General features: G+C 36.2%; 1 protein-coding gene across 3 annotated transcripts in view; it reads right to left on the minus strand.

Annotated features, from left to right (window-relative positions):
• Positions 1–27,726, minus strand: part of ADAMTS3 (ADAM metallopeptidase with thrombospondin type 1 motif 3) — a 288,253-nt gene that overhangs the window by 45,907 nt on the left and 214,620 nt on the right. For all 3 annotated transcript variants that reach the window (NM_014243.3, XM_011532422.4, XM_011532421.2), the window contains exon 5: positions 12,619–12,818. In NM_014243.3, the coding sequence (NP_055058.2) occupies positions 12,619–12,818 (200 nt within the window). The remainder of the gene's footprint in view (positions 1–12,618; positions 12,819–27,726) is intronic.

The following is a 27,726-nucleotide window of genomic DNA, read 5'->3' on the forward strand; positions in this document are numbered from 1 at the left end:
TTTAAAAGCTATTTCCAGCAGATGGCAGTATGCATGCTTCAGAGGGGCAAAGGACAAGCTGCTTCATACACCTGAATGTGCTTACATACCAGTCAGTATGTCAATGTTTTCCTATATTTACACATAAATGAAACAATCTCCTTGAAATTAAATAAGAATTGTAAAATATTATAACCTGAGAAAAATGCTACGTTTTAAATGCTTACTCATTTGACTCTTAAAAGCAAAGAAAAATATTGAAAAAAATCATTATTTAGACTTTTTAAAATGTCATCTGATTACAAAATTACATAGGCATAAGGAAATTCTCATGATCTGGCTGTTTTTAACACTCAAATAATATAGAGAAAGAACTAAAAGGATATCATACTAAATTAACAATTTGAATCTGTCAAGATGGGCTAAATTCTTATTAGGAAATTCTTAATAATTCTAAATAATTCTTATTTATTAAGAAAGTAATTTTACAACTTTTAGTGAAAAGGAAAGTAATTTTTCTGAAGTAAAAGCAAAATCAACAAAAAAGAACAGCTAATAATACAGAGAGCTTATCAGCTTCCAGACACTGCATTAAACACTTTACCTATATTGATTCAACTAATCCTTGAAATAACTTTAGAGATATTAACTCCATTTTACAAGTGCAAAAGCTCAACATATATTAGAGAGCTCAGAATCCTATAGAGGACAGATGTTCTCATTGCCCAGAGAAGTTAAGTAACTTGCCCAAGTACAATTAGTACACGAGCAAGGGATGAAAATTAGCAGTCTGACTTCAGGGTCATAGCTATACCCATTTTGCTGTAGTTCCACAGATCTGCAGGCCACAATGCTGTCGTTATACATAGGATGTGGTTTTAAAATCATCAATAGTGATTCTCAACCTTTGAGTTTAAGAATATAGTGTGGAAACATATTGAGAAAGAAAATGTAAAATTTGCAGCTTCTTTTCATAATCTTCTTTAGGTAAATTTTAAGAAAATGAGGAGCGAGGCTCTAAACTGAATATAAATAAGGATTTATTGATGATCAGTATAACAGTATTCCAGAAAATATTGAGAAGAAATAAAGAGGAGCTAGAGAAGAAAAATTAAATAAGAAAAGAAATAAAGGGTGAAATGTATAACCAGTGTTTGGGGTTGCAAGAAAAGCAGTAAGCATAAACATTCTAAGTGACGTATTTGACACTGCATAATGCAAACCAAAGTACATCTACAAAAAAACACTGAGTATCTTTTCACCATGTGAGCCAACCTATTGGACCATGGGTAGATTTTCTGTGAGGTGTTCAGGGTTGAGCCTAGAGTCTTTATTAAATTACCTGAAAGAAGGGGTAAACAGAACATTAATTCAATTTTCAGATGACCTGATGTTGGAAGAGTTTGTCAATGATGTGAGGGAGGAAAAGGTAAAATCAAATCAAGTATTCCTTTCCTTGAAATGAAAATTCCTTCCAGGTTTGTTCCCGGACAGGACAAATTCTCCCAGGACATTTCGCTGGCAGGACAATCTGACCTGCTTTGTCTGACTAGCTGATGAACAGCTTTGTCTGGCTTCAACAAAGCAACACTCATTTTTTGTTCAGATGGGTGGATCAGGTCTTGAGAGGCTGGATAGCTTAGCAGTGGAGAGCATGAGCTCTGCGTCAGACTGCCTGGATTCAATCTTAGTTGTGTGATGCTGGGCATGTTATTTGTCTCTGTGCCTCAGTTTCCTCACCTGTAAACTGGGATAATTACAGTATTATCCTCATAGGATTGTTGAAAGGAATAAATGAGTTCATATAGGTACAGTACTTGATGCTTGGCCCTTGCAAATATAAAAAAAAATTAGCAGTAATTACTGCTATTATTCATATAGAAGCAAATAAACACCACATATATACAAAATTTTTTTAAAGAGACTTTTGTATAACTGAAAGTAAACAAGTATCAACAAGATAGCCTGAGTGATTCTGGCTAGATATAAAAGAATACTGAAATGGACTGAGAAAAGTATTACTCTGTCCACAACTATCTCTTACGTAGGTAAAAGTTCCAAACTCATACCTGCTTGTATTCTCAGCCCCATACTCAGTATTCCTTTTCCTCAGAAAACAGAGGTGTCTCCCAATCTGCCAACTCTTCCCTCATCTCCATTCTCATATTAATAATAACTACTGTTTAGTGATATACTCTTATCAACTATTTATTGAACAGTGGCTATGTGCCCAAATGTTCTGGGGGTGGAGAATGGAATAGTCAATACCTTTGAGTCTCTGTTCTTATGAAGCATAGACTCTATTGGGCAAAACAGCCTATAAGCATGAAAAAAAATGAATGCAAAAAGACATGCGGGCAATGTCATTTGAAATGGGAATAGGTGTAATAAAGAAAACAAATATATGAGTGACAAGATAGAGGAGGACAAGAGGAGTTAAGGATTGGGTACTATTTGAGATTGGGTAGTTAGGAAAGGGAGAACCATGGACAGGAAGGAATAATTGTGTGACTGTTTAGGGAAAAAGCAATCTAGGCAAAGGGAAGAGCAAGTGCGAAAGCTCAACATATATTAGAGAACTCAGAATCCTATAGAGAACAGACATTGTCATTGCTACTTTATAAAGAGACTGAGACCAAGAGAGGACACACAGTGTTTTCCTCAAATGATTAGCAAAGCTATCAAGTCTATATGATATCAGTGCTTGTTCTCTTTTCGCAAATACCTTGCTCTATGTTGTGTTTTGTTGTTGTTGCTGTTGTTGCTGTTTTGTCATGATGGAAGCCCTGAGTCTCTAGACAGTCACTCCAAAAATCCCCTCCATGCTGCTGGTTTAATCGCTTCCTTCCTAGGAATTACTTTTCTTCTCTTAGTAACATTCTCAACTTTCTTTCATGAAAAAAAAAAAAACGATCTACGATGTTCTGTGGGATCTGGTACTGTTTACCATTATATTCTTCAATGTCACTATTCTGTTTCTTTAGCAAGATTAGCTCTACAGCTCTACTTTCTCTGCCTAACCTTTACATGTCAGTGTTGCTCAAGGTTTGTTTGTTTGTTTGTTTTTTGACTGTTCTCCTGATACATGTTTCCCCTGCAATATTCTCTTCACTGCTGTTGCTTCAACCAGTATCTATAGGCTGATGAATTCCAAAGTTTGGTTTTTTTGTTTGTTTGTTTTGAGATGGAGTTTCACTCTTGTTGCCCAGGCTGGAGTACAATGGCATCATCTCGGCTCACTGCAACCTCTGCCTCCTGGGTTCAAGCAATTCTTCTGCCTCAGCCTCCCGAGAAGCTGGGATTACAGGTGCACACCACCACACCTGGCTAATTTTTGTATTTTTGGTAGTCATGGGGTTTCACCATGTTGGCCAGGCTGGTCTCGAACTCCTGACCTCAGGTAACCCACCCACCTCGGCCTCCCAAAGTGCTGGGATTGCAGGCATGAATGAGCCACCATGCCTGGCCCCAAACTTTTATGTATCTAACAGTGATTCATCTCTCTCATGTGTGAGGGCCATCTGTTCAACTCTACTAACAGGACTATCTATTTGGAAGTATACCTGGATACCTCACAGCACACCCATCTTCTCTCTAAAACCTGTTTTTCTTTTCTAAATATTTTATCCCAGTTACAGACTAAATCATCCTTGATTCCTTCTTCTTCAAGTATTAGAGTCATTCTACTACCAAGTACCGCAGACATCTGTCAAACCTGTCCACCTCCACACCAAGCAGCTTAGTAAACCAACCAGCTCATGCAGACTGTTGCAATAACTTGTGAAAACTTTTGCAAATATTTTGTATTTAGGTGATTTGGGCACATTTGAGTAGCTCTCCAGAAAGGAAGATTGTAAGGGTTGATGGTTGTTTTCAATAAACATGAGTCTTTCCTTTTATGTGAATTATGTCTTACTTCATTTAAGTATCAAAGGAGCTTTGGAAAGCCCAAGAATAGGCAGTCAGCTGTGAGGTCCTACAAACTCTTGTGTCCTTTGTAACAATGGACACATAGCAAAAGCCCAGGTAGAACTGTTTACCTTTCCTCAAGATTGAGAAAGATGGTTCGCACAGGAATCTATAAACTTTTTCTGTGTTTTACAACCTGGGAAAATACAAAGGTTGTAACAAAGTAAGGAAGGATAAGGTCAGTCTGATATCTGTAACTTAAGAAAGAAGAAAGTGTGAATTTCACGAAGGGAATTTGGGGCTGCAAAAGCAAAGGGGGAAAGGAAGAGGCAACTGAGACGCTTCAGTAAAAATCGAAGGGACCTCTTAGTCAGCAATACTGTGTGGATGTTGTGTTACGTTAAGGTAACATGTGATGTGGGGACTCGCTTCTAGAGTGATAGGTCAGGATATTCCTGGGAAGGTGAGTATGTTTTTATAAAAGGTGGCTGAATCGACTTGTGCTTGATGCAATCTGTCTCTGTGATCTGGTATGTTCAATCCACATTGGGGAAATTAAGATAGCTTGTTGAGGTAGGGAAGTATAGTGTACACAACAAGGAGTTTGGACCCAGACAGACACTATGAACTTAGAAACTATGTGTTCATGTTCATAGCATAGTGTGTAACAGAGTCTCTCTCCTCCAAATAATTCTAATAATGCATCTCTTTCTAAAACACGGACTGATCAAGTCACTAATCTTAAAAACCCTTTATGACTCTTGTTTGACAAGATGAAATTCAAACTACTTAGTATGGCACTTATTATTTTCTAAAGTTAGCCCCAGCTTCTCTTTCCAGTCTCCTCATCTGCCATCTCCCCTAAATACCTTTCAATTTTACCATGCAGACCAATCTAGAGTGTCTCCAAAGACTCCATAAATTAATACTTCTAGTATCTTGTTACAAGCTGTTCCCCATCTTCCAAGACCTATCTCCCCTTTTTCTAGCAGGAAAATGCCAGTTGAGTTGAAAAAGTCCAACTCAAATGACATGTCGTCTTAGGAAGATTTCACTGGCCACTGGCATTATTTGCCAAACCATATCCTCTCTTTTTCAATTCATGTTTACATAGTACTTTGCAACTGAATCCCTTGAAGATTAATATATTTTATAGATCTCTATCACATTTTATTATTATCATTTGTTGATTGGTTTATTTTACCTGCTACAATTAGCTCCTTGTAGAAAGGTGCTATGTTTTATTAATTTTTGTCTCCCAAGAATCTAACAGGACTTTGCCTATGGTAGGTTATGTATGCTAGGTGAATAAATGCCTAGAGGATTGATGTGAATTCAAATGTAAGAAACGGATTATAGATAATGACTCAAAACAGAAAACTGCTACATGATATGCTAAGGTTGCATGAATATGTATACTTTCCAGATAAATCTGCATTGCACTCACATTCAATGTTTTCAAAAAAGTTAAAAAATCAAAAGCAGTGTATTGATATAACCATCGTTAAGTAACCAGTAACCACATATATTTGCTGCTAACTCTTGAATAAGTCCATTAATACTTTTTAAGGACCAGGGTACGGCTGTGGAGTTTATATTTTCTTTACAAATATTGGTTAGGGAAGCCTGCCCTGTTCAGATAACACATTTATGCTCGTTCACTGTCCATCATAAGTAGCTAATTTCAATATACAAAGAAACTGATGAATTCACTCAATAATTTATAATTTCGTAGAAGTCCAAGACTGTTTCTTTGTACTGGGAGGCATTCTTTTAAATGAACTGCTTTCTTATCATTTAATAAATCCTGAGATTAAGGCATAAATTCTATTTACAGGGCCCTAAAAATGTTAAGGCACATTAGACCCAGAAGACCATTTCATAGATCTTAGCAAATAAAAAAAGATACCTTTGACCTGTCACAGACAGCAGAGTGTTGCTGATGGAAAATATTTGGTACATTGAACGAAAACAACCTACCATCTTAACCATAAAAATCTGCCTCATCAGCCTGTTAGAATCTTAAACTAGATTGCTAACTAGTTTGATTCAATCAGGTAACTAACTGAATTCTCATTTCAATGACTTGAATCGTACAAACAAGACACAGAAACAGATAAAGGAAAGACATCAGAGTTTTATCTAGCAAGAGATATATAAAATGCCTCAACTTTGTAATGAGAGGCAGTGAAGTTTGGGGAGGAAGAGCTTAAGGCTCAGAAGGCAGATATAGATCTGGGCTCAGGTCCTGACTCTGCCATACTAACTGTCTGACCCTGGGAACATCACCTAACTTCTTTCAGCTTCAATCTCTTCATTTGTAAACTGGGACTAAGGCTGAATGCATCTTAGAGTTGGAAAGTATTAAATAATGTACATAAAGTATTTATCAGAGATTCAGGCGCAAAGAGCTAAAATGTTAGTAGTGTAAGCCTTCACTATTAACATTAAATCTTCATTTTGAATCTAGACCCAAAACTAGATGATTTCAAATACCTTCAAAGATTTCATCAACAACCTTAATTCTCCATAATCTGTTTTTTTATTGACCAACTCATCTACATAAATGGTACCATTAACAAACAGAATGTTCAAGCTAAAAAAACGTATAAATTATGGTAGATTCATCTCTTTCCCTCAGCCCATGGATTCAATAGCAAATCCTACTGATTTTACCATAAACTATCTATTATTACTGCAATCCTCATTGTCTAATAAAGCATCCTCTCTTGCCTAGACATTTATACCCACTTTCCAGTAGGGTCTGTCTTCATTGTCCCTAGGCCTCTTCAATTTTTCTTTACAAGGCCGAGAGAAGCAGGAACCGACCCTCAGTGGCTTTTATTTTGTACTTAATACTGCATTTAAGCTCCTCCTATGACCTGAAAGATGCTTGCCTTCTTCTCCTAGCTCTGCCTGACTCCTTACACACTAAATTTGAGCCACAATGACCTTTTAGTTACTAAAACGCATGCCCTTATTAAATGGCTGGATCTTTTACTTTAAGTCTCAATTTAATAATCAATTCCTGAAAGAAGGTTTTCTTTTTTGTTGTTTTGTTGTTGTTGTTTGTTTGTTTGCTTGCTTTTTTTTTTTTTTTTTTTGAGACGGAGTCTTGCTCTGTTGCCTAGGCTGGAGTGCAGTGGCGCGATCTAGGCTCACTGCAAGCTCTGCCTCCAGGGTTTACTTACACCATTGTCCTGCCTCAGCCTCCTGAGTAGCTGGGACTACAGGCACCTGCCACCACGCCTGGCTAAATTTTTGTATTTTTAGTAGAGACGGGGTTTCACCGTGTTAGCCAGGATGGTCTCAATTTCATGACCTCGTGATCTGCCCGCCTAGGCCTCCCAAAGTGCTGGGATTACAGGAGAAAGAAGGTTTTCTTAATCATCATGTCTATGTATAACCTCTATCACCCATTTGCTCTGTTATTCTCTTTCCCAGAAAACTGTCAGTTCCTTGCATAGTTCTTATGTAACCTATGATGTAATTATTTGATTTCTCCACCAGTCTATAATCTCGCTGAGGTCAGGAAATAAGCTTATTTTATGTTAACCACCATATACCTGGCATATAGCATTAAAATACTTATTAAAAGACTGAATCGATCAAATTTTTATTGCATGTCTACCACACGGCAGACACTTTTGGATATAATTATGAGGCTTAATAATATACAGTAACTGCACTCAAGGAACAATCAACCTATTAGAGGACTGCTCCTGTTGAGGTTTGGGTTGATAATTATGGACCAGGTCAGGAAATTAAAAATTTTAAAACTCTACTCTCTTGAAGCTTGGTGGAGGATTCAGGCCAGCTCCAAGAGGGTCAACAATTTTTATCATGCTTATTGGAATATTGCCAATACCTAAAATAGGCCTTGCACATGGCAGACGATGGGTCAGTATTTATAGTATGAGACATGCCCCAGAGCTGAGAACCACTTTCCCAGTAAATCAACCATGTTACAAGTTAGTAAAACTATAAACATTTCTTGATATAACAAGATATGATATGGAATCCTAAGAAAGGCTTAACATATATGACAAATCTCTTATTTGAAACATTAAAACCTTGGATATGTTCATATCCATGTGTTTCTTCTTCATATAGGAAGCTTGGTGAAATGTCAAGATCTACAAAATAGAAAGAGGTTAAAAAAAGCAGATGAAAGACATCTGATTATTCTCCCCATTGCTTCACAAAGGAGTGGGGATGAGTAGAGGGTATCCTTCCTTTCTTAGGAAGTTATATCGAAATCATCTAGGGTCTGCTCAAACTTGTTCACTTGACCCTTAAGCCCCAGAGAAAAGTGTTAACTTAGTTAACCAAAAATAGATTATGGAGAATTAAGGTTAGTGATGAAATCTTTGAAGGTATTTGAAATCATCTGGTTTTGAGTCTAGATTCAAAATAAAGACTTAATGTTAACAGTGAAGGCTTATACTACTAATATTTTAGCTCTTTGTGCCTGAATCTCTGATAAGTACTTTACATAAATTATTTAATTTATGCATCCAAACACCCAGATTTGCATGGCAACACCTACAGAATTTTACCGCATTCATACGCACAGTCATTACTATCGTTAGGAAATACGGCCCTGAAATAGATTAAATATATTTGTATCCAAAAGGTGGACAACTTGCATGGCTAATTTAAAACAACAGATAAACCAAAGGGATTTAATATTACTAGTGACATATAACAGTAAATACTGTGTGTTAAGTGTTCTCATTACACTTAAATTATGATTGAGTTAAAATTAAAAACAACTTAAACGTTCTAAGCCAGTTTCTCCTCCCAGTAACACTGTCTTTTTTTAATGATTAGCTTTACCACCTTATCATTACTTGAGACTGTTTTATGAACTGTAAATAATTTTTTAAAATTTACCTAAATTTCATTAACATTTTCAAAGTCTCTGTTTCCTTTGGAAAAATTGTAATAATTTCCATCTTGCAATATAGTTGGAAAGAATATATGATACCCAATAATAATTGTTAATTTATTTCTTAAACACTGCTCCCATTATATCATTGCATTTGGCATCTATTTCCTCTTGTTTTGAGTCCAAAATTTCTGACTTCCTCCCAAGATTGTTCGTGATCTACCTCTACATTATTTATATTCATTTGTTCTTCTTTCATTAAATATACATTTAACACTTAATATACGAGCTCTTTTCAATAAAGGAAAGCATGACATAAGAAATATAAGCTTCTCTTTAAAAGGGAATCCCATTTAAATTAAGGCGATACTCTGAAGCAAATTACTTGGACCTAAAGGTATTCCCTTAATTCAGAAACTATCATCTCAGTTCTGATATGGAAATGAAATTGACAACCAGGTAAATGGAAGAGCACATCTGCTGAGCAGTCAACCAAGGCAAAGTTGACCAACAATTTTAAAGGACAGCATGATCTTCTCTCTACCATAGGGACACCTTTCACACTAATCAATGCAAAAAGATAGAATTTTTTGCTGTTAGCTTTCTTCTACAGTTTCTCTCCAGGACCCTATCTGACATTTCATCTAAGTCTCTGTGTCTATGTAGGCCTCAAGCCTGGTGAGCCATAATTTTAGATGACCATGAGAAATCATAAAGCATGGCCAGCAAAGGAGATAGTTATTTGAACATCGTTAGAGAAAAACTGAATGTTCCTGGTCTTGAATTTCCATGAGGTAGCTTCATTACAGTATCGTTGGTTTCTCTTTCTGCTTCTCATTCTCATTTGATGATGAATTGGAGGAAAAGGAAAGAGCCTGCTCAGGTCAGTATTTTGGGTCTAACAGGCTACAACAGGGCAGAGGGTATGGAGGAGAAGGAAGACTTAAGTCTTCTGTCTGTCTTGCCTAAAGTTGTCTGCCTGACTCCAGGGGGAAAACCTGAAATTATCCAGTTGGAGAGTGATGAGGGTTGGGAATAAGACTAATTTAGAACAAGGTTTCTAAATCTCAGCATCGTTGACATTTTGGGCCAGATAATTAAAAATTCTATGCTGTGTAGGGCTGTCTGTTGCGCTGTAGGATGCTGAGCAGCATCCCAGGCCTCTGTCGCTATTAGCAGTAGCATCCCCCTCCACCCCCGCCCCACCCACCAGTGTTAACAATAAAAAAAGTCTACAGACATTGCCATATGTCCCTGGGAACTGACGTGGACACAAATTATCCTCAGTTGAGAACCACTGATTTAGAATAATGAAAACCTTGTGACTATACACTTAAGTATATGCAATTGTATGTGCAATTCAGGTCTCATCAATAATAAAACTATTTCATTCTTCATCTGTGTGATTTCCATGTCTATCTTTCAGTTGGTCATGAAGTTGGGGAGGGAAGGGGAGGAGTGTTATTCTTACCTCTCCAAATCTCTTACCTGTATTAATTACTTAAAATGCAACTAATATATTAAGTATTAAAAAATTATTTTCTCTCCCATAGCTCCATTCTCTGATACTCTATTTACTTTAGAATAATTTGTATTTGAGACAGAGTCATAGTCTATTATCTAATTTTTTTAATGGACTTAAGAACAAAAGTCCTCTTGACTGTTTTTAAAACATAAAATGCATCACTTTGTTATTCCTTTGACACTCTCAAAATCATACTTACTACTTACTGTCTGGTGAATATACTGTATCCATTCCTACATAGAAGTCCTTTACATTTTCACATGTCCTTCAAAAAACACAAACAAGGCAAACAAAAAAACAACAGGAAATCTCTAAAAGCAGTTTAACTCCTAACTTCTTGATGAATTACATAACTAATAAACTTGTTGAATCTTTCAATTTTGTAATGATGAAAACTAAGTCCTAGAAAGGGACATGATTTGTCTAAGGTCACAAAGCCAACTAGTAGTATGACTAAAACTAAAGCCTTACCCTCCTAAGTCCCAATTTAATACTTTTATCACTTCATGATTGGATAACTATGGTCACATCTCCATTTTCTAAAGTGTTATAGCATTTATGATATACTGCCTATAATATGGCTTAATAATAGCATGACTTTTATTGTTTACGTTTTTTCCTTCTAATTTTCCCATGTATTTATTTTTTCTCCTCTAATAGTTATAAGTTCTACGAGGACAAGACCATATCAAAATCTCTATTGCATTACTCCAAAAGCCTTCTTATTAGGCACATTTGCAAGCCAAATAAGTCTGTACTGATTGTCTTCCAGATAGTAGAAAAAAAGTAGCCCAGGGACATAATGAATGACGTAAGAATAACATCTCCATAGGAAGTTTGAAATTTTAGATAACTTATGAAGTAAAATTTGGCATAGAGAAACTAAAATATGATTGTCTATTTGTGCATCTGTATATGGCACTGTAAATAATGGATGACTTGTATTTACACACTTCATCCTCTCAACATCCCTATTATTTTTCTCAATATGCCGATAAAGAGACAGAAGCAGGACAGAGAGTCCAAGAAGCATGCCAAAGTTACATAACTAGCAAAAAGTTAATAGTCAAAAGGTTAATATGAAAAGTTCATAGTCAAGAGTTGAAAACATTCATATGATTCACAAATGATGATCCTCTGAACACATCTATTGCCAAGGCTAGTAATTTGTTTTCTGTGTGTTGTTTGGTCTTCATAACAGAAATTAGTGCCAAGAACAAATAAAAATGTGTTTGAATTTCTGTACTCATTTTCCATTTCACAGAGATATGGTATAAGTGTAATTTTATAAATTGCTATCTCAATAGACCAAAATATAATTAACAGATATTAGCATAAACAAAATCATGTTTCATGAAACTAAGAATTTTTCTCCTTCACTATCATTGCTTGAAATCTAATCTTAAGCATGGGGGAAAGAGGTAAACTATAGATATCCAAGAAATTATATTAAATATCAAAAGTTGTGAGGGGGGAGGGTGGGTTGAGAGATAGGGAAATAAAACAGCATAGGCTTAGGTAATAAATTTGCAAGATCAATATAATATATATTTCATATTGGCATGAGGTAACATATATAGAGTACATCAAAATCTCAATTATCTTTTAGAAGTAGGTGGTTTACGTATTATTATTTCTCCTCAGTTGTTCTCTGCCAATTTAAAAAGAAAGAACACAAGTTTCAGGATATTGACAAAATTTCTTCTGAATCTGATTAAGGTTCATAAAAGAGAAATAAAGATAAATTTAAAGAGACCATTAGTGGTTGCTGTGCAGCACCGTGCCAATAGTTGTATGCTTTGTATTAATAAATATATTACCTTCAGTCTTATAATGTTGAAAAAAATCACATTTGTTCAAAAGCTGTAATAACAAGAATCCACAGAGTTACCAGGCATAAATCATTCTATATCATCCTGTGAAGCAGAGTGATTCTAGAAAGAACTATTTCATCCTTCATAGGCAACATGAAAGCAGATGGACAAAGTCCTGCGAGTTTTGATTATCCCCAGAACAAAATAAAAATTACAATTCATGTTTTAATTCCATCTCATTATGGCTTTTTAAATTTATGATTCCCCCTTGACAACAACGGAAAACTACTTGATCAACCAAAAGAAACTTTCGCTTCATGCTTCCTTTATTTTAGCATTCCTGTACTTTAAATATGTAGATCAATAATTTAAATTTAATGCCATCATGCACATATTTTGGCACAGTCATGGAAGTTCTCACACAGATTGCCAAAGGGTACCAACAAATAAGAGAAGTGAATTAAAAGATCAAAAAGCTTTAAAAAGGAGTCACTACTCACAATGTTCATTAGGGTCAGGAGGTAGTTTTGGACGTGCTCTTTGCCATGGAAACGGACCACAGAGTCATCCACTCCCAGCAGTACCTCGATATTGTAATCGTTTTCTCCCGCGTGTCTGCGGCGTCTCATTGTTTCATTCAGCTGCTGGTGGATGTTGCCATAAACAGTACCTAGATCATCAAGGCCTTCCAGGTCCGACTCTAATAAGAGACAAAAGGAACCAGGAATTTCAGTTTCCCTAACAGGCCTTCCAATCACTTCTTAGAAAAAAAGAATCTTCTCAGGGGCCTATCAGTATCATTCATAATCACTGAGATGTTGCTTTTCAGTTTATTCCTTAAATAATACGCATATGCATACGATCAGACAGACCTGCTACAAATTGAACATAGAAGAGCAACACTGAAGGTAAAATCATATTATTATACAGGGAGCGGTGCCATCATGGCAGAAGGACTATTCTGTAAGGATAGAAGTGGTTCAGTTTTTCTCCCAGCAAAGAGTCAAGGCAGTGGGGGTACAGAATACAGGCTGGCTATGTAGTTATTAAATAAATTGAGATTACAAATAAAAATAACTCCAGTATGTTTACAATGATTAAGTTCCTGTAGCCATGGAGTATAGAATTTGTGTCACATAAATTTAAATTGCTCCTCTTTCCAGTAACCTTAATTTAAAAATTAAATTATAGCAGGGCAACACAACAGCATCTAGTGATATGATTATCAGTCACTATGTATTGCTTTATTTCTTCTGAGTAAAGTTTTCTAGTGAATGCTGCCAGCGAAGAAGTGGATATACAGGGTATATACTATATACATAAGTGTGTGTGTGTGTGTGTGTGTATGTGTATGTGTGTGTGGATAAGATAGTATATAATATACAGGTTATATATTATATATATATGCCAATAAAATATACATATATGTGTATATGCAGGGATACACAGGAAAACTTTAGTGCTCCACATTTGCACTGGCCATCATTTGGATGGCAAGTCATTTCAGTTGCTATATATCTAAACCTGAGATATCAAAGTAAGAAGTCAGTCAGAAAATAACTTTTATTCAAAGAAAAATAAAAGTAAAAATAATTTCTTATTTAATGCAGTTCAAGAAACTTACATTTTTTTACTTTCCAAATGAACATTTCATACACACATACACACACATATACATACAACATACCTATATACATGGAAAGAAAGAAGAAGAGAGACACCATCAGGTTTTAATTACCTAAGTTATCTGTTTTCAGATGACTATATTTTTTGAGAAAAAAAGTTTTAGTGAATTAAAAAATAAAATCTATCATTTGGATTAAAATTAGAGAGTATTCAAAACTGCTGGTACATAAAAACCAAAAATATTTTCATCTCCATTTCAAGTATATAGAACTCAGAAAGGATTTTATTTTATAAGCTGCCTTGATGTCTAAAACAACCGTATATGTAAAAACAAGTTTGACAGAACCAGCTCTGACTCATGCTTTATATGATGGTTTATTTCATGCTGCACTGGGGCTTGTTAGCCATTTGAGTCAGCATCTGACATTAATAAATAGGTATTGTCCTCTCCACCTTTGTGGCTTTAATAAAATTAAGACTGGGAAAAATAGGTGTCTTTTGGCTGGGAAGGTTGATGACCAAGCCCTAGCCAAAAAGGATTAGAAGTAGTGAAAGTACAGATCCTGCTCACACTTTTTCTACCTTTAAAAAATATATAGAAACACCAATACCCTCCCTTACAAGTAGGGGGACATGGTCTGAATGTGACTACTCAGGTTTAAAAGCTCTACTTTAATTCACTTTGACCTAAGCCCAACTGCTAGCTCATTAGCTGGGAAAATTCTCCTCACCAAGGAATTACATTGGCTCCACAATATATAAATAACTCTCACCATCATCCACATCAAACAGAAAGCTTTCCTCAAAAGTTTTCAAGAGCTGCAAACCCTCACTGAGGTTAAGAGACGACTACACCTGCAAATAGCTTTACCATTCAACCTCAAGTCTTTTTCACACACTTAGAATGTGAAAGGCTGTGATAGCTAGTGTACAAATATAGGAAATTCAGACATGAGCTCTCAATTCTAAAAATGGCTCCTGTTGGCAGAATGCTCAGAGAAAACGTCCAATGGAAATATACCAGCAATGTTATTATATCATGAAGCTTGATGTGTGAATGAAGTAGGCTGAATACTTATTTCAGAGAGGCAGTTCATTCTGCTTTAACACACCTTTGGTTTGGCCTTTGCAAGCCTCTTTAAATAGGTAGTTTTCTGGTAAGGAAACAGAATCTCTCTTTTTATTGCATAAGAAACCTGGGAAAGAAGAAGGAAGCCTTTGAAAATCAAGAATAATTTGTCCCTACTTTCCTCCATGCTGGGCAGTGTTCTTTCCATGTTTCCTAAAATGCACAATATCAAATATTTCAAAGAAAGACAGTAGGATAGCTTCTGGCACTTTTTACTTATACTCATCATTATAATTACAGACTGCTCTGAGGCTGTGAAATACCTTCATTCATAATGAATTTGTCTTAGTAAAACTGCAAAATTATGGCAAAGCTATGACAATAAGAGAAATTGACATAGTTGACTCCATCTTGCTTCTCACCTCCAAGCTGTTCTTGGTTATTTCTGGGCATAGGCCAAACTAACTTTGAGAGGAGTTTATTTTATAGTTTAACCTTAAAGCAAGGATGATCATAGCCCTTCCCACAACTAAACTGCCTTTGTAAAACTAATGAAAGGCCACTAGGTTAGGATTATGAATGAGGTTTGAATTCTTTTAAGACACAGGCATAATAAAATGATGAACCGCTATTGTTCCAGAGGTCACAAGATTGGAAATTTCCCCAATTACTTTTTTTTTTTTTTTTTTTTTTAAGACAGAGTCTCACTCTGTCACCCAGGCTGGAGTGCAGTGGTGTGATATAGGCTCACTGCAACCTCTGCCTCCCCGGTTCAAGTGATTCTTGTGCCTCAACCTCCCGAGTAGCTGGGATTACAGGCACACACCACCATGCCCAGCTAATTTTTTTTCTTTTTGTATTTTTAGTAGAGACGGGGTTTCACCACATTGGCCAGGCTGGTCTCAAACTCCTGACCTCAGCGATCTGCCTGCCTCAGCCTCCCAAAGTGCTGGGATTATAGGCGTGAGCCACCACACCTGGCCCCAATTACTTCTGTAGATAGCATCACTATTGTGGAATCTAAGATTGATCTTTTGAGATATTTTTTAGCCTGTGCATTCTGACAACCGACTGACCCCAACCAAATGCATGACTCATGACTCAGCTGGTACTGTGGCCCCACCAAGAGGTGGACTTAGCATATGACGATCATTTTCCAACACCTATTGAAGTGGCATCGTTGTCTGGGGTAAAGACCCAAGGTTTGTCATCTTGCACCAAGGAAATTCAGTATGCAGACACACACAAGAAGTGGGTTTAGGAACAGAGGTTTAACAGGCAAAAGAAGAAAAAGGAGAACAGCTCTCTCTCCTGTGAGAGAGAAGGGCACCCAGATGGGGCTTCCAGCCCCCAGCAGAGTACACTGGATTTTATGGACAGGCTGGAGGTAGTAATGTCTGATTTACATAAGGGCCCACAGATTAGTTGGACCAGGTGTAACAGTTACATAGCATGCTGGGAAGCTGGCCATCCCACCCTAATCTTATTATTCAAATGGGCTTTCCACCTGGCCAGTGCCATGTTGTCTCATCCTTACTGTACATGTGGCTGGCAAAGAGAAGGGAAGATGGAGCTGCCATGTTGGACATGCCTAGCCCCCAGGTACCCCCTTTCCTATTGGCACAACTGCCAGCATTCACCTAGCAAGTTTCTAGCTTGCCTTTCTATGTCTGCCGCTCAATTTTACAGGCTGTTCTTTGTTAGAAAAGAAAATGATTTGGGGCTGCTTTTCATGAAAAGAAACATGTTACCAAAAACTTCCCTACCCTCACTACCCACCTAGATAATTTCTTCTTTACTCCTATATCACCATGATCGTGTCTCCCAACAATCAGCAGCACCCATTAAGGAATGTGTCCCCTGCCTGCCAAAATATCTTTGAAAAACAACCTTTGAGCCTTTAGGGAGACGGATTTGAGTAATAACTCCACTTGCCATGTGGCTTCAATGGTGCTAGCTGAGTTGGGCAGCAGAGAGTGATTTATGTGACAACAGAATTAGCAGAAAAAAAGGAAAATCCAGGTTACAGAGAGCTTTCTAACAGGTGTGTTCTCAACTGATCATTCAAAAGGAAAAAAAAGGCCCTGCAAAAGGTAGAGCAGTGTTATTAATCTCATGCATCATTCCAAAAAGGTGATGCTCACAGTGCCTTTTAAGCTTCTCAGAAATATCAAAGTCAATCCCCTCTTAGTTCTTAGAGTGAGTTTTCTTTTTTAAAACTTTTTAGGAAAATGTACGTTTTTGAAGGTTACCTTAGGAATTACTGATGTGCATTAATTAATATTTTGGAAACATTTTAATTGTATCCTTTTGTGCACCCCCTAGTTTCCCAATTACTGTATAGGAATTTGCAGAAGTGATCATTTTACTATAAGGCCTATTTTATCAGAATGAATTTTTGAGAGGCATATAGGTGTTCAATCAAGTCAAAATAAATACAGTTATTTTTAGTGTTAAGTATAAGATTATCAGTATCAAATCAGAATTTTGAACTTACTAAACAGATAAAGTAGAATATAACTTTCTTTGCTGATTATGGACACTAAGGCTTGAAATATTTTTAGGAGAATGACATGTTCATATGCTTAATCATACTTATAGGAAATCAAAGTATAGGATTAGTGAAATTGCTCCCTACCCCAGAAAAAAATTTCTATGGTCTGAAAAAGGACAGGAGACGAAGGTAAAATTGGAAAGGTACAAGTTCTGAATCTAATACAAATACATTTGGGGTTGGAATGCAATTATAAGCATACTGTGATAGAGCCTGTGATAAAACCATCTACCCAATATTCATTCTCTCTTCCCTAAGGAGCAGAATGTTAATTTTATTTGAAATAATAATAAACCCAGCAAAAAGTCACTCCCAATCTCCCTGTGACTAAGGGTTACATGTGACTAAGTATAAGCCAATGAGATCTAAGCAGAAGTATTGCTTATATCTTGATGGCTTATGACTCCTCAAAGGAAGACAATTCATTCCAGTAGGTGCACACCCCTTTGGCCCTCCACTCAATCACCCAATATTCCTTTCTGCTGCCTAGAATGTGGACATGATGTCAGCAGTTCTATGGGGTGATCCTAGGATAAAGGGACATGCTGAATAGAGGAGAGTCTGACACTTTAAAGGAGTGTGACTCCCCAGTGACTGTAGACTCACCATACCAGCCCTGGATTACCTAAAAACAAACTTCATTACATATGAGAGGTAACACTTCCATCATGTTTAGGTCACCCATCTAATGAGTTTTTTCTTGTATGCCACTGAATCTAGTCCTAAAATACATGACACTCAGAAATTTTAATTTTGTTGACTAGGTTCTCCCAGTACTCTTTACTCCCTATGAGAATGCAAGCCAATTTTCATGTGAATAAGTGAAGAATAAAATACGATTCATGTTACCAAAATGTATCATAGTAGCATTCTCTGTAGTGCATCATTTCAGAAAATGAGAAAGCATCATATTGTTTTACAGTAACAATGAATACAGAATGAGGCTATATGTAAAAATCTTGCCTTCTTCATGAACAGAATACTGTTATGAAATGAAGTAACTGGAATACTACAGGCTGGATTTTCCAAGAGTAGGTGGAGATCCTATAATCAGAGCTAAAAATAAGTGTAAATTCCAACAAATGTCATCTATTAACATCAGAAGCAGAGAGCAGTTAACTTAAATAATTGTGTTAACCTGTTTGTATCATCCAATAGTGATTTTTAATTGACATCTTTTTAAAAAAATTTAAAGTTATCACTTCCTAAAAGGATACAGTAACAGCATCTCCACATATGTGGAGGCACTATTCTACCAAGATATAAAATGTTTCCGTGAAAAGGAGCTCTATCCTTCACAAACTGAGAAATTCCATAATGATAGTTCAAAGAACTATATTCAGGTCAAGTTATGATGTCAATTCAAAAGTTTCACTAAGTACCTGTTGCTTTTATTTTTTAAAGACATAACCATTGAGTGAATGTCAGTTTCCGTTATTTCTTTTCCCCAAAAGTTCTAATTCTAACATCCGTGTGTTTGCTTTTGTTTTTACTGACTACTTTATGGAATAACATGACATTTTTTAGATGGGAAACTTCTTACCTTTTAAGGAAAAAAATGTTTTAATGCTTTGGGTTTGTGATTATTAGCAAATGAAATTTTAAAATCAGTTTAATATCCAAAATATGAACTCTGACTGGCAGTAAAAAACTTCTATGTCAGCGAGAATGTTTCTAACTGCAAATCAAGAAAACTTAGTGTCTTCAGCAATAAGTAAACATACTAGTTCACGTAACAAGAGTTCCAGAGGTATGGTGATTCCTGGTTAATCCATCAATAGGTCATCAAGGATTCAGTTCTTTTCATCTTTCCATATCCTGCCATTCTTGGTGTACAAACTTTGCCTTCAAATTAGCTCCTTTGATTATTTCAAAATGGTTACACCAATTCTAGCATCAAAGCCATGTCCAACAGATTGTGTCTTCCTGCATTACTTTCTTAGGAACAGGTAAAAACCTTTCCTAGAAACTCTCTGGTAACATTTAACTCCATGTTTCAGTGGCCAGAATTGAATCACAGGGGCTTGAAATAAAAGAGAAGGAAACGAATGTTGTACAGGTTACCCACCTTGCTGAAATCTTTTTCAGATCTTCCTCTTCCCTCATCCCTTAGTAACAGCCTTCCACTGGTATCTTTTATACCTAGTTTTCAATAATGCATTTCATGTTTAATTTCTTCTATTATAATTTGTCTAGAGATAACTTCTGCATTCTCTTGGCCTCAATATTTTTTGAAAGAGATAGTCCTTCATTTCCATAGTAGTGGATTCTCATAATTGTTGCTCATTCAGTCCCATTGCAACCATTTAATTTGATTTCATTTCAGTGGTTTATTGCTGAAACATTTGGGTGTGGGCAAGGTTGTCAGATAAAATAAAGTATTTTTTGTTAAATTAAAATATAAGATAAACAACAGTATTTTTACTAGAGATATCTCACAGATATTGCATGAGACATATTTAATACTAAAAACCTACTCGTTGTTATAGCTGAGATTCAAAATCAAATGAAAATGCTATAGTTTTATTTGCTAAATCCAGCGACTCTAGGTGTGGGGGAATTATCTTTTGCCAGGCAGTACATGCAGTTACACGAACTTACACCCTCTTCATCTCACTTTTCTCCTCTACACTTCCATCTTCAGCTCTAGCAGTGCACATTCACCTGGCATGGCCAAGTAGCATATGCCATTTCCTTGACTCCAGTACTTGGTTAATAGATGTTCAAATGGCTTAAATTATGCTAATGAAATTGTGAACTAGGACATTTTAATTTGGAGCTACTAGGAAAGAAAAGTTCTCATTATTAAGCTGGAAACTGGAGGAATATAACAATGTAGGTGTTTACGGCTAGTATGAGAATAGTTGTTGGTCTAAGTTTAATGCTAGAAGAGGAAAGTGGAGACTACTAATAGAGAATAGACTACACTCCAATGATGAGTATGAGCCTGTGAATTCACCCACTAATTTCTGAAAACTTGGTCTTTTCAGTTTCACAAACCAATAAACTACCACCACCTCATTTTCTTATTTTACTGCTTTTTTTTTTTTTTTCCATTTGCTAAGACAGTTTGATGTAAGTTCCCGACAGGCAGGTGAAGCTAAGAGCAGCCTGATAAATAAGCCCATTTATACCCTTTCTCTGCTACAGTCATCAATAGTCTTCATTTTCCTTCTCATTCTTCTTCTGTAGTCAACTATTCTTAGGCTACACAGTGCTCTGAAAAAGACTACATATTCTGTTTTATTTCCCAATTTGTTTATTTTATTCTCTCGGTTCTATTTTAAATGAATAATGTTGTTACTAGTGATTTGTTTCTTAATTTCTTTTATTCTTTTTCAGCTAAATCATAACTAATTTTGGGAGACAGCACAGTTTTTAATTTTCACATTTTACTGCTCTAAACATTTAATAGCATTTTCATTAACATTTCTCTTCCTCTTGACTAAATTATATATTTTCTTATTTATGGCTTTTGTAGTTCAGCTCTACTAAATCAAGGAGGTAATAGAAGAGTAGAGGAAGAGGTCACCACACCCAATTACTAGATTACATTCTAGTAATCTTAGACTGCTAGAAATTAAGGTTTTCTAAATAAGGTCAACTACATAGAAGAGAGGTGAGATTCCTTTTCACAGCTGCCGTTTCAAAGCTCATGTTACTTCCCTCACTTTCCACCTATATGCAACTTTAGTAAGGATAGAAAAGCTCTTCACCTCAAACTTCTCCAGAAACTCTACATTTGCATTCTAAATCACTCCAATATGGAATGATTAATAAAAATGTAAATAAGTCATTATAGCCAAATGACTAATATGTTAATATTAATATTAACACTTGCCATTTATTCTGTGAGATAAATATTTAAAGGCTCTGAACACCACTTTATGTCACACTGCTCTAAGCACTGGGAATCCAGCAATGGACGAGACAAACATGTTGCTTACCCTCATAGAACTTACATCCCAGTGATAAGAACTATCAACTAGGGTAAGAAGAGTAAAACAGGAGGAAGGGAGTAAGAGGGACAAGGCGAGGGAGGCAAAATTTTAGATAAGGTTCTCAAAAGAAGGCAGCAAATGGGCTGAGATCTTGCAAAGTGATGGAGTAAGCCACACAAATATCAAAGTTATATTTGACTCAGATATATGTAAACTTTTTATGAGCATATTCATATTTATATTACAGATTTTTCAGAAAGAGGTTGTATGATATAATACAAAGAAAATCAGAATAGGCTCAGGAATGCAGCAAGCCGACTTTCTAAAATGGCCCCACTAAGATGCCCTGCCCTAGTCCCAAGAACCTGTGCCTTTGATGAGGTATCATTCCTACGATTATGTTATGTTATATGGTACAATTGACCATAAGATAGAAACATTATCCAGGTGGGCCTGATCTAACTTCATGAGACATTAAAAGCAGAGAGCTTTATCTGGCTGTTGGCAGAAGGGAAAGTCAGAAATAATGAAGCAGGAGGAAGTTTGATGTACCATTGCTGGCTCTGGAGATGGATGGATTCTGCTCCTGGACAGGAGAGAGGTATCTAGTTGCTGACAGTGAACCACAGCCAACAGCCAGCAAGGAAATGAGGATCTCAGCTTGCAAAAACAAGGACCTGAATTCTGCCAACAACCTGAATGAGCCTGGAAATGGACTATTTCCCAGATCCTTCAGATAAGACTTCAATCTGGCCCACACCTTGATTTTGGCCTTGTGATAAATTAAGCAAAGAACCAGTCCAGCCACCTTAGACTTCTGACCTATAGACTGTGAGCTAATAAATAGGCATTGTTTTAAGCTATTAAATTAGGGGTGATTTATTACACAGTAATGGAACAGAAAATGATAAAAAGAGAACTGAGTTCTAGTTCCAGCTCTACTATGATGCAACTCTATGATTTTGAGAAAGAAGCTAAACTTATCTGAGCTTCAGTTTCCTGAAATAAATAGGCTGAGCTAGCTGATCACTAACATGTTCTTTCTGGCTAAATTTCCATAATTAATAATTAGGCCACAATTTCACTAAATTATTAAAGATGGTTATTATTGTTATGGCTGTTTGATCATACATGATTGATCATACTTATAAATTTGATGCTAAATCCTTCGTCAAGGATACAACCATCGTTAAAACATTTTTACATGAAAAAAATGTGCTACACTAAGAGAATCTATATTATGATATAAAATACTTCATAACAATATAAAAGTCTAGTAACTTATCACAATAAGAGATAATCTGACCATTCTCCCATTTAACGAGCACAGTGTCCATAAAGTCTGGAGACATTGGCAGTTATACACAATTTTCCAAGAATACCTTAAATCTCTTCTCTAAAAAATAAAATGTTGCCTATTTTTTTTCAGATTTTATAAACAACCTCGGTTGTCTAAAAGGTAACACTTAGACATTTTTTAAGTATTATGTATTCACAGTACAGATCAGAATTTTATCCTGATTAAAAATTTACTTCATATCTCTTTGTTATGATGCAATAAAATTTTGTTAACATATGTATGCTACTTGCAATAAAATTTTACTGAAGAAGAGTTCCAAACATGGAATTAAAATGTATGTTATTATCGCATCAAATTATTGAAGAAGCGGTCATTCTACATTTTTAAAAATCTAAAGTGCTTTTGCTTATTTGAATAATACTGATCAAACAGTTTTGATTCACGTTCTGATTGGTCAGTTTTTATATCATACACAGTTAACATATTTAAGCCACAGTAATTATTGCAGATTTAAGATAGATCTATGACAGAACAACGTTTGCTATCTAATATTATTAATGGAATACTATAATTCCTAGTCCACAAATAATATTATTCAAGTTAAATTTAATAACAAACCTTTTTTGCATTCAAACAAAATTGTTGAGCCATTCCTAAAGTGATTTCTGCTAAAGACACTTATTTGCCAATATAAAACTATTCTTAGTCTAAGGAATAAAATATGCCAGAAGAGAGAAACACTGTTACTACATTTTACTACATAACTGTGTGCCTGTAATATATTCTCTGAAATAGTATCGACCATATGGATGGAAAATAATGGGCATTTTTATATCTTCTATGTTTTCTAAGATGTATAAACTATAGATTTAATGATTGCTTTAATATTTGTCTTTGCTAATTCTAACATATTTTGTCAGTTCTGTGTTGGTTTGGACAGATTTATTTTTCTCATCATTATGGGTTGCATTTTCTGGCTTCTCTGCGTAGTCAGTAAGTTTAGATGGGAGGTCTGACATTGTGAATTTTACCCTTTTGGCTGCTGGATATAGTTGTATTCCTATAAATATTCTTGAACTTTGTTCTTGGATGCAGTTAAATTACTTGACAAGTTTGTTCCTTTCGGGTCTTGCTTGTAAGATTTATTAGGTGGGGTCAGAACAGTGCCCATCTACAGCTAATGACTGACCACCACTGAGGCCAGACCCGTCTGTCTACCCTCCACTGTGATGTGAATCATGAGATATTGCAGTCTGGCTTGTGGAAACAAGCACTATTCCCAGCCCCATATAAGCACCAGGCACTGTTACCTCTGATTTTTTTTAGGTGGCTCTTTGTCAGGCTTCATGTAGTTTCCTCACATATATATGCGATGATCCGGACTCAGCTGAATACCAGAGGGGGACCTCTGCAGATCTTTAGAGTTGTATCTCTGTATGGCTCTTCTCCCATTCTCAGTCCTGTGAGCTCTGGCCACCTTCCTCTCTCCAGGCTCTCAGCTCTGGCTTCTCAACTCTGGGAATTTGTTAGGCTCCACCTGGGTTCCCCTTCCCTGGGATTCATCTGGAAACCCTCAAGACAATAAGCTGGGGCAATCCTGAGGCTCACCTCATATGTTTCTCATCTCTCAGGATCACTGTCATTCACTGCCTGATAGCCAACGTCTTGCAGACTGTTGTTTCAGACATTTTGTCCATTTCTGGTTGTTTAAAGCAAGAGAGTAAATGCAGTCTCTCTTATTCTATCTTGATCAGGAGCAGCAGTTCACTAAATTTGGTTTTGCTGAGAACATATGGTAGTTTAGAAGCTTGGATTTACAGGCATGTTACAGGGTAACATGCCTTAAAATTTCAACAGCCATTTAGCTTGCCCTAAATGATTTTCTATATACATGTACTTGGACTTGATGAAGTTAGGCAGTAGTGAAATATACAGTGAGAATCCTGAAAATGTCCCTTTAATTAAAAAATGTACTTTTATGACACATTAAATCTCCTTTAGTATGTCCTTGCAACACACAGTATCATATGTAAGAAAGTGCAATTAAGGTTGAGTAGCATTTAGGAAATTTCCAAAAAAAAAAAAAATCACCTTTCTCATAAAAGAATGTGAACTTCTTTGTTCATTAAAAGCTATATAAGCCAAAAGGTACTGTAAATGTATTTACGGGAAGAAACTGTCTTCCAAGAGTAGCAAAGAAAAAAAAAAGTGCTTGTTAACTAAGCACAAACATGGAGGGAGTTCAAAAAACTAAAACCTTAGCAAACATGGATATCACCTTACAGTCCAAAGAACATGATTTTTGAAATATTCACTGAATATGTTTTGCTCTGAGTTTTTCACAAAATTACAAGCTAGGGTTTTAAAAATCATATTTAGATGATAGAAAATTGGGGTGAACTTCAGAAAGCCACGTTACAGAGGTAAAGGCAAGAAATAAATTTTATAAATTAGCGTTCATTGTTGGCAATTTCTCAAAATCAACAAGGGTAACAACAAGCAGTATGAAACAGCTCACTCAAAAAAAAATCATCTTGTGATAAGGAAAGTGGCACAATGGCGATTCATGGTACAGTAGGTTCTGTTATATCTAAGTTCATCTTCTTAGATTTTAAAGATTATATGTTTTTAGTCCAAGAAACCTAAACATTTATATATTCAATTCAAATTGAGGAATGACATATTTGAAAGGTTATCCGGATGTAGTGAGAACACTTTACCACGTTACCACCAGTGGTATACAGTGGTATTGATTTTGTATGTCATCAAAATCAATACATACAGATATTTTCTTCAAATACCAAAAGGGAAATCCAGTCTACAGGAAGCAAGTCTATTTCTAAGAAAGAATGTGATTCCACATCTCAATTCATTCAGTGGTTTTAAAGATCTAACAAATTGGTAACACAAGGAAAACCTTCACATATAAAGATGTTAGAATTACTAGAAAAGGTTTATTACCTCCTTCCTGGAAGGACATCCCCTCACCTTTCTTTCCTCTCTCTCCTCCCATCCATTTATTTCAAAACATTTCTTGAACACCTTTTCAGCACAGAACCTAATCTGGCTCCTGCAAACAAACGTGAATAAGCTGAATTCCGGTCATCAAGGCGGTCACAGCTTAATAGGAAAGAAGGATATGTAAACAGATATTTTCATGCAAGATATTTGTGTAACTGAGGAAGAATCAGTTTACTCTACCAGGAAGAATCTGAGAATGTGTCAACAGAGGAGGTGACATCTGAAATGGATTTTAAAAGATGCACAGATATTAGACATGGAGAAATAGGGTGGGCCCTTCCAGACAATGGGCATAATGCACGCAGAAAGACTGAAAAGTATTGAAATGTTGGGGAAATAGAACTTCAAAGAGGATGGAGCAAAACTAAGTGAATATTTACACTGGGAAATGCGGTTACTAAGAGAGGTTGAAGCAAGATCATGAAGAATCTTAAATATTTTGTAAACAGGCTTCAGGCCAGATTTCCTGGGGCAATTCTGTACCATGCTTACTATCTTGGCATCAATATTAGGAATGTTTTCGTTCATTCTCACGTGTCCTAGTTTGAACAATAAATTAAGTGGTCATTCTGTTTATGGGCCTTTCAGTTCTCAAAATATGATTTCTAGAAGGCAGGGCTGAATCCACATGATTTCTTTTTGTGTACTTGTATTCAATGATAACAAAGAAATTGTAGCAACAGGGCTTCCATGTCCTTGTTACAGTGATTATCTTAGCTTCAGAAGCTACTTGGGAGTCATCATTCGTTCTAACCTCCTTGTGGGGTGCACTCCTGCAGAAGTTGGAACTATAGTACCCAATGTGCTTGTAGTTAGAATTCCACATGAGACTTTGGTTAAACCAACTGGATGAACTCATATGAGATTTGGAACTCAGAATGGCAAATATGGTTATGGAGACACTGTAAAAACAGTGGCTTTCTGTAGCAGGGTCCTATGTCTAGTTGCTAGCTGTGTGGATGCTGAAAGAAAGGTGCAGTTTCAGTTGTAGCTGTTTGTTACCCTTGGATAATATCATCAGTAGCAAGCTGGAGTCAGCAGGTCCAGCAGCAGCTATCTCCACCTCCCATTCCCAGATTTTAGCAGAAATAGCAGCTACCAGGGTGGGCCATCTTCTGTATCATTCTGGGAACTAGTCCTGAACCCCAAGCCTAGAGGCTGTATTTTCAATCCTTCCAAAGATTTAATGTACACTTAAATCTTTTCATTGAATTCTTTCATGCTTAAAATGGCTAGTGTGGTTTCAATTTCCTAAAACTGAACCTTGACATGTATATGGTAAGTTATTTAACAAAACTGGGCCTCAAATTCACATCCATGTAATAACAAAGTTGGTCTATCCAGTGACCTGCAGGATCCCTCCTACTTCTAGAATTCCATGTTGTGATTCTTTACTGTTGTGGAGTTTGCCTAATACCCCCATTTTTTTCTCCTACATCCCTCAGGAACTGCTTCCAATCTGGCCTGTACCTTACTGTTCCATATAACTGTTTCACAAAATCACCTATTCATATATTTTTAGTATTCAGAAAGTGTACCAAAGGCATTGGATGTGGATAAGACGGGATAAGAGTTCACTTATTCACTGGACAAACATTTATTGAGCACCTACTATGTATCAGGTGCTTCCAAGTAACATATTATTAACTATTTGACTTAGTCCAAGTGTTTGTTTAGATAAAATATTCCTAGAAGCACATTTATCTTCATCTGTTTTCCAATTTAATAAGAAGTGTCATCCTCCCAACCTGTTGATATTCCTCCCAACCCCTCTCCAGTCTAAGCTTCAGTCAGTATAGCTGCTCCTTTACAGATACTGACTTGAGTCAAATCAAGATTTTTTCCCTTCTTTCTAGACCACTCTCTCCATTTTTAATCCTTTTGCTTTCTTCAACAGAGTGAATTATCACACATTTTCTTTATTGATTCAGTTTTTAACCCTACTTTTCATTCCTCTCCACTCTGAGTTTCCCAGATGTCTCTTCAGGTGGTCCTTTGCAAGATCTTGTTCTCGCCTGCTGGCTGAGCATCACTTTAAGGCCCTTTGCTTTTTACAAGTAGTCCCTTGGGCAAATCATTCAATAATAGAGTTTTAAT

The sequence above is a fragment of the Homo sapiens genome, chromosome 4 (assembly GCF_000001405.40).
Source record: "Homo sapiens chromosome 4, GRCh38.p14 Primary Assembly".
NCBI lineage: Eukaryota > Metazoa > Chordata > Mammalia > Primates > Hominidae > Homo > Homo sapiens.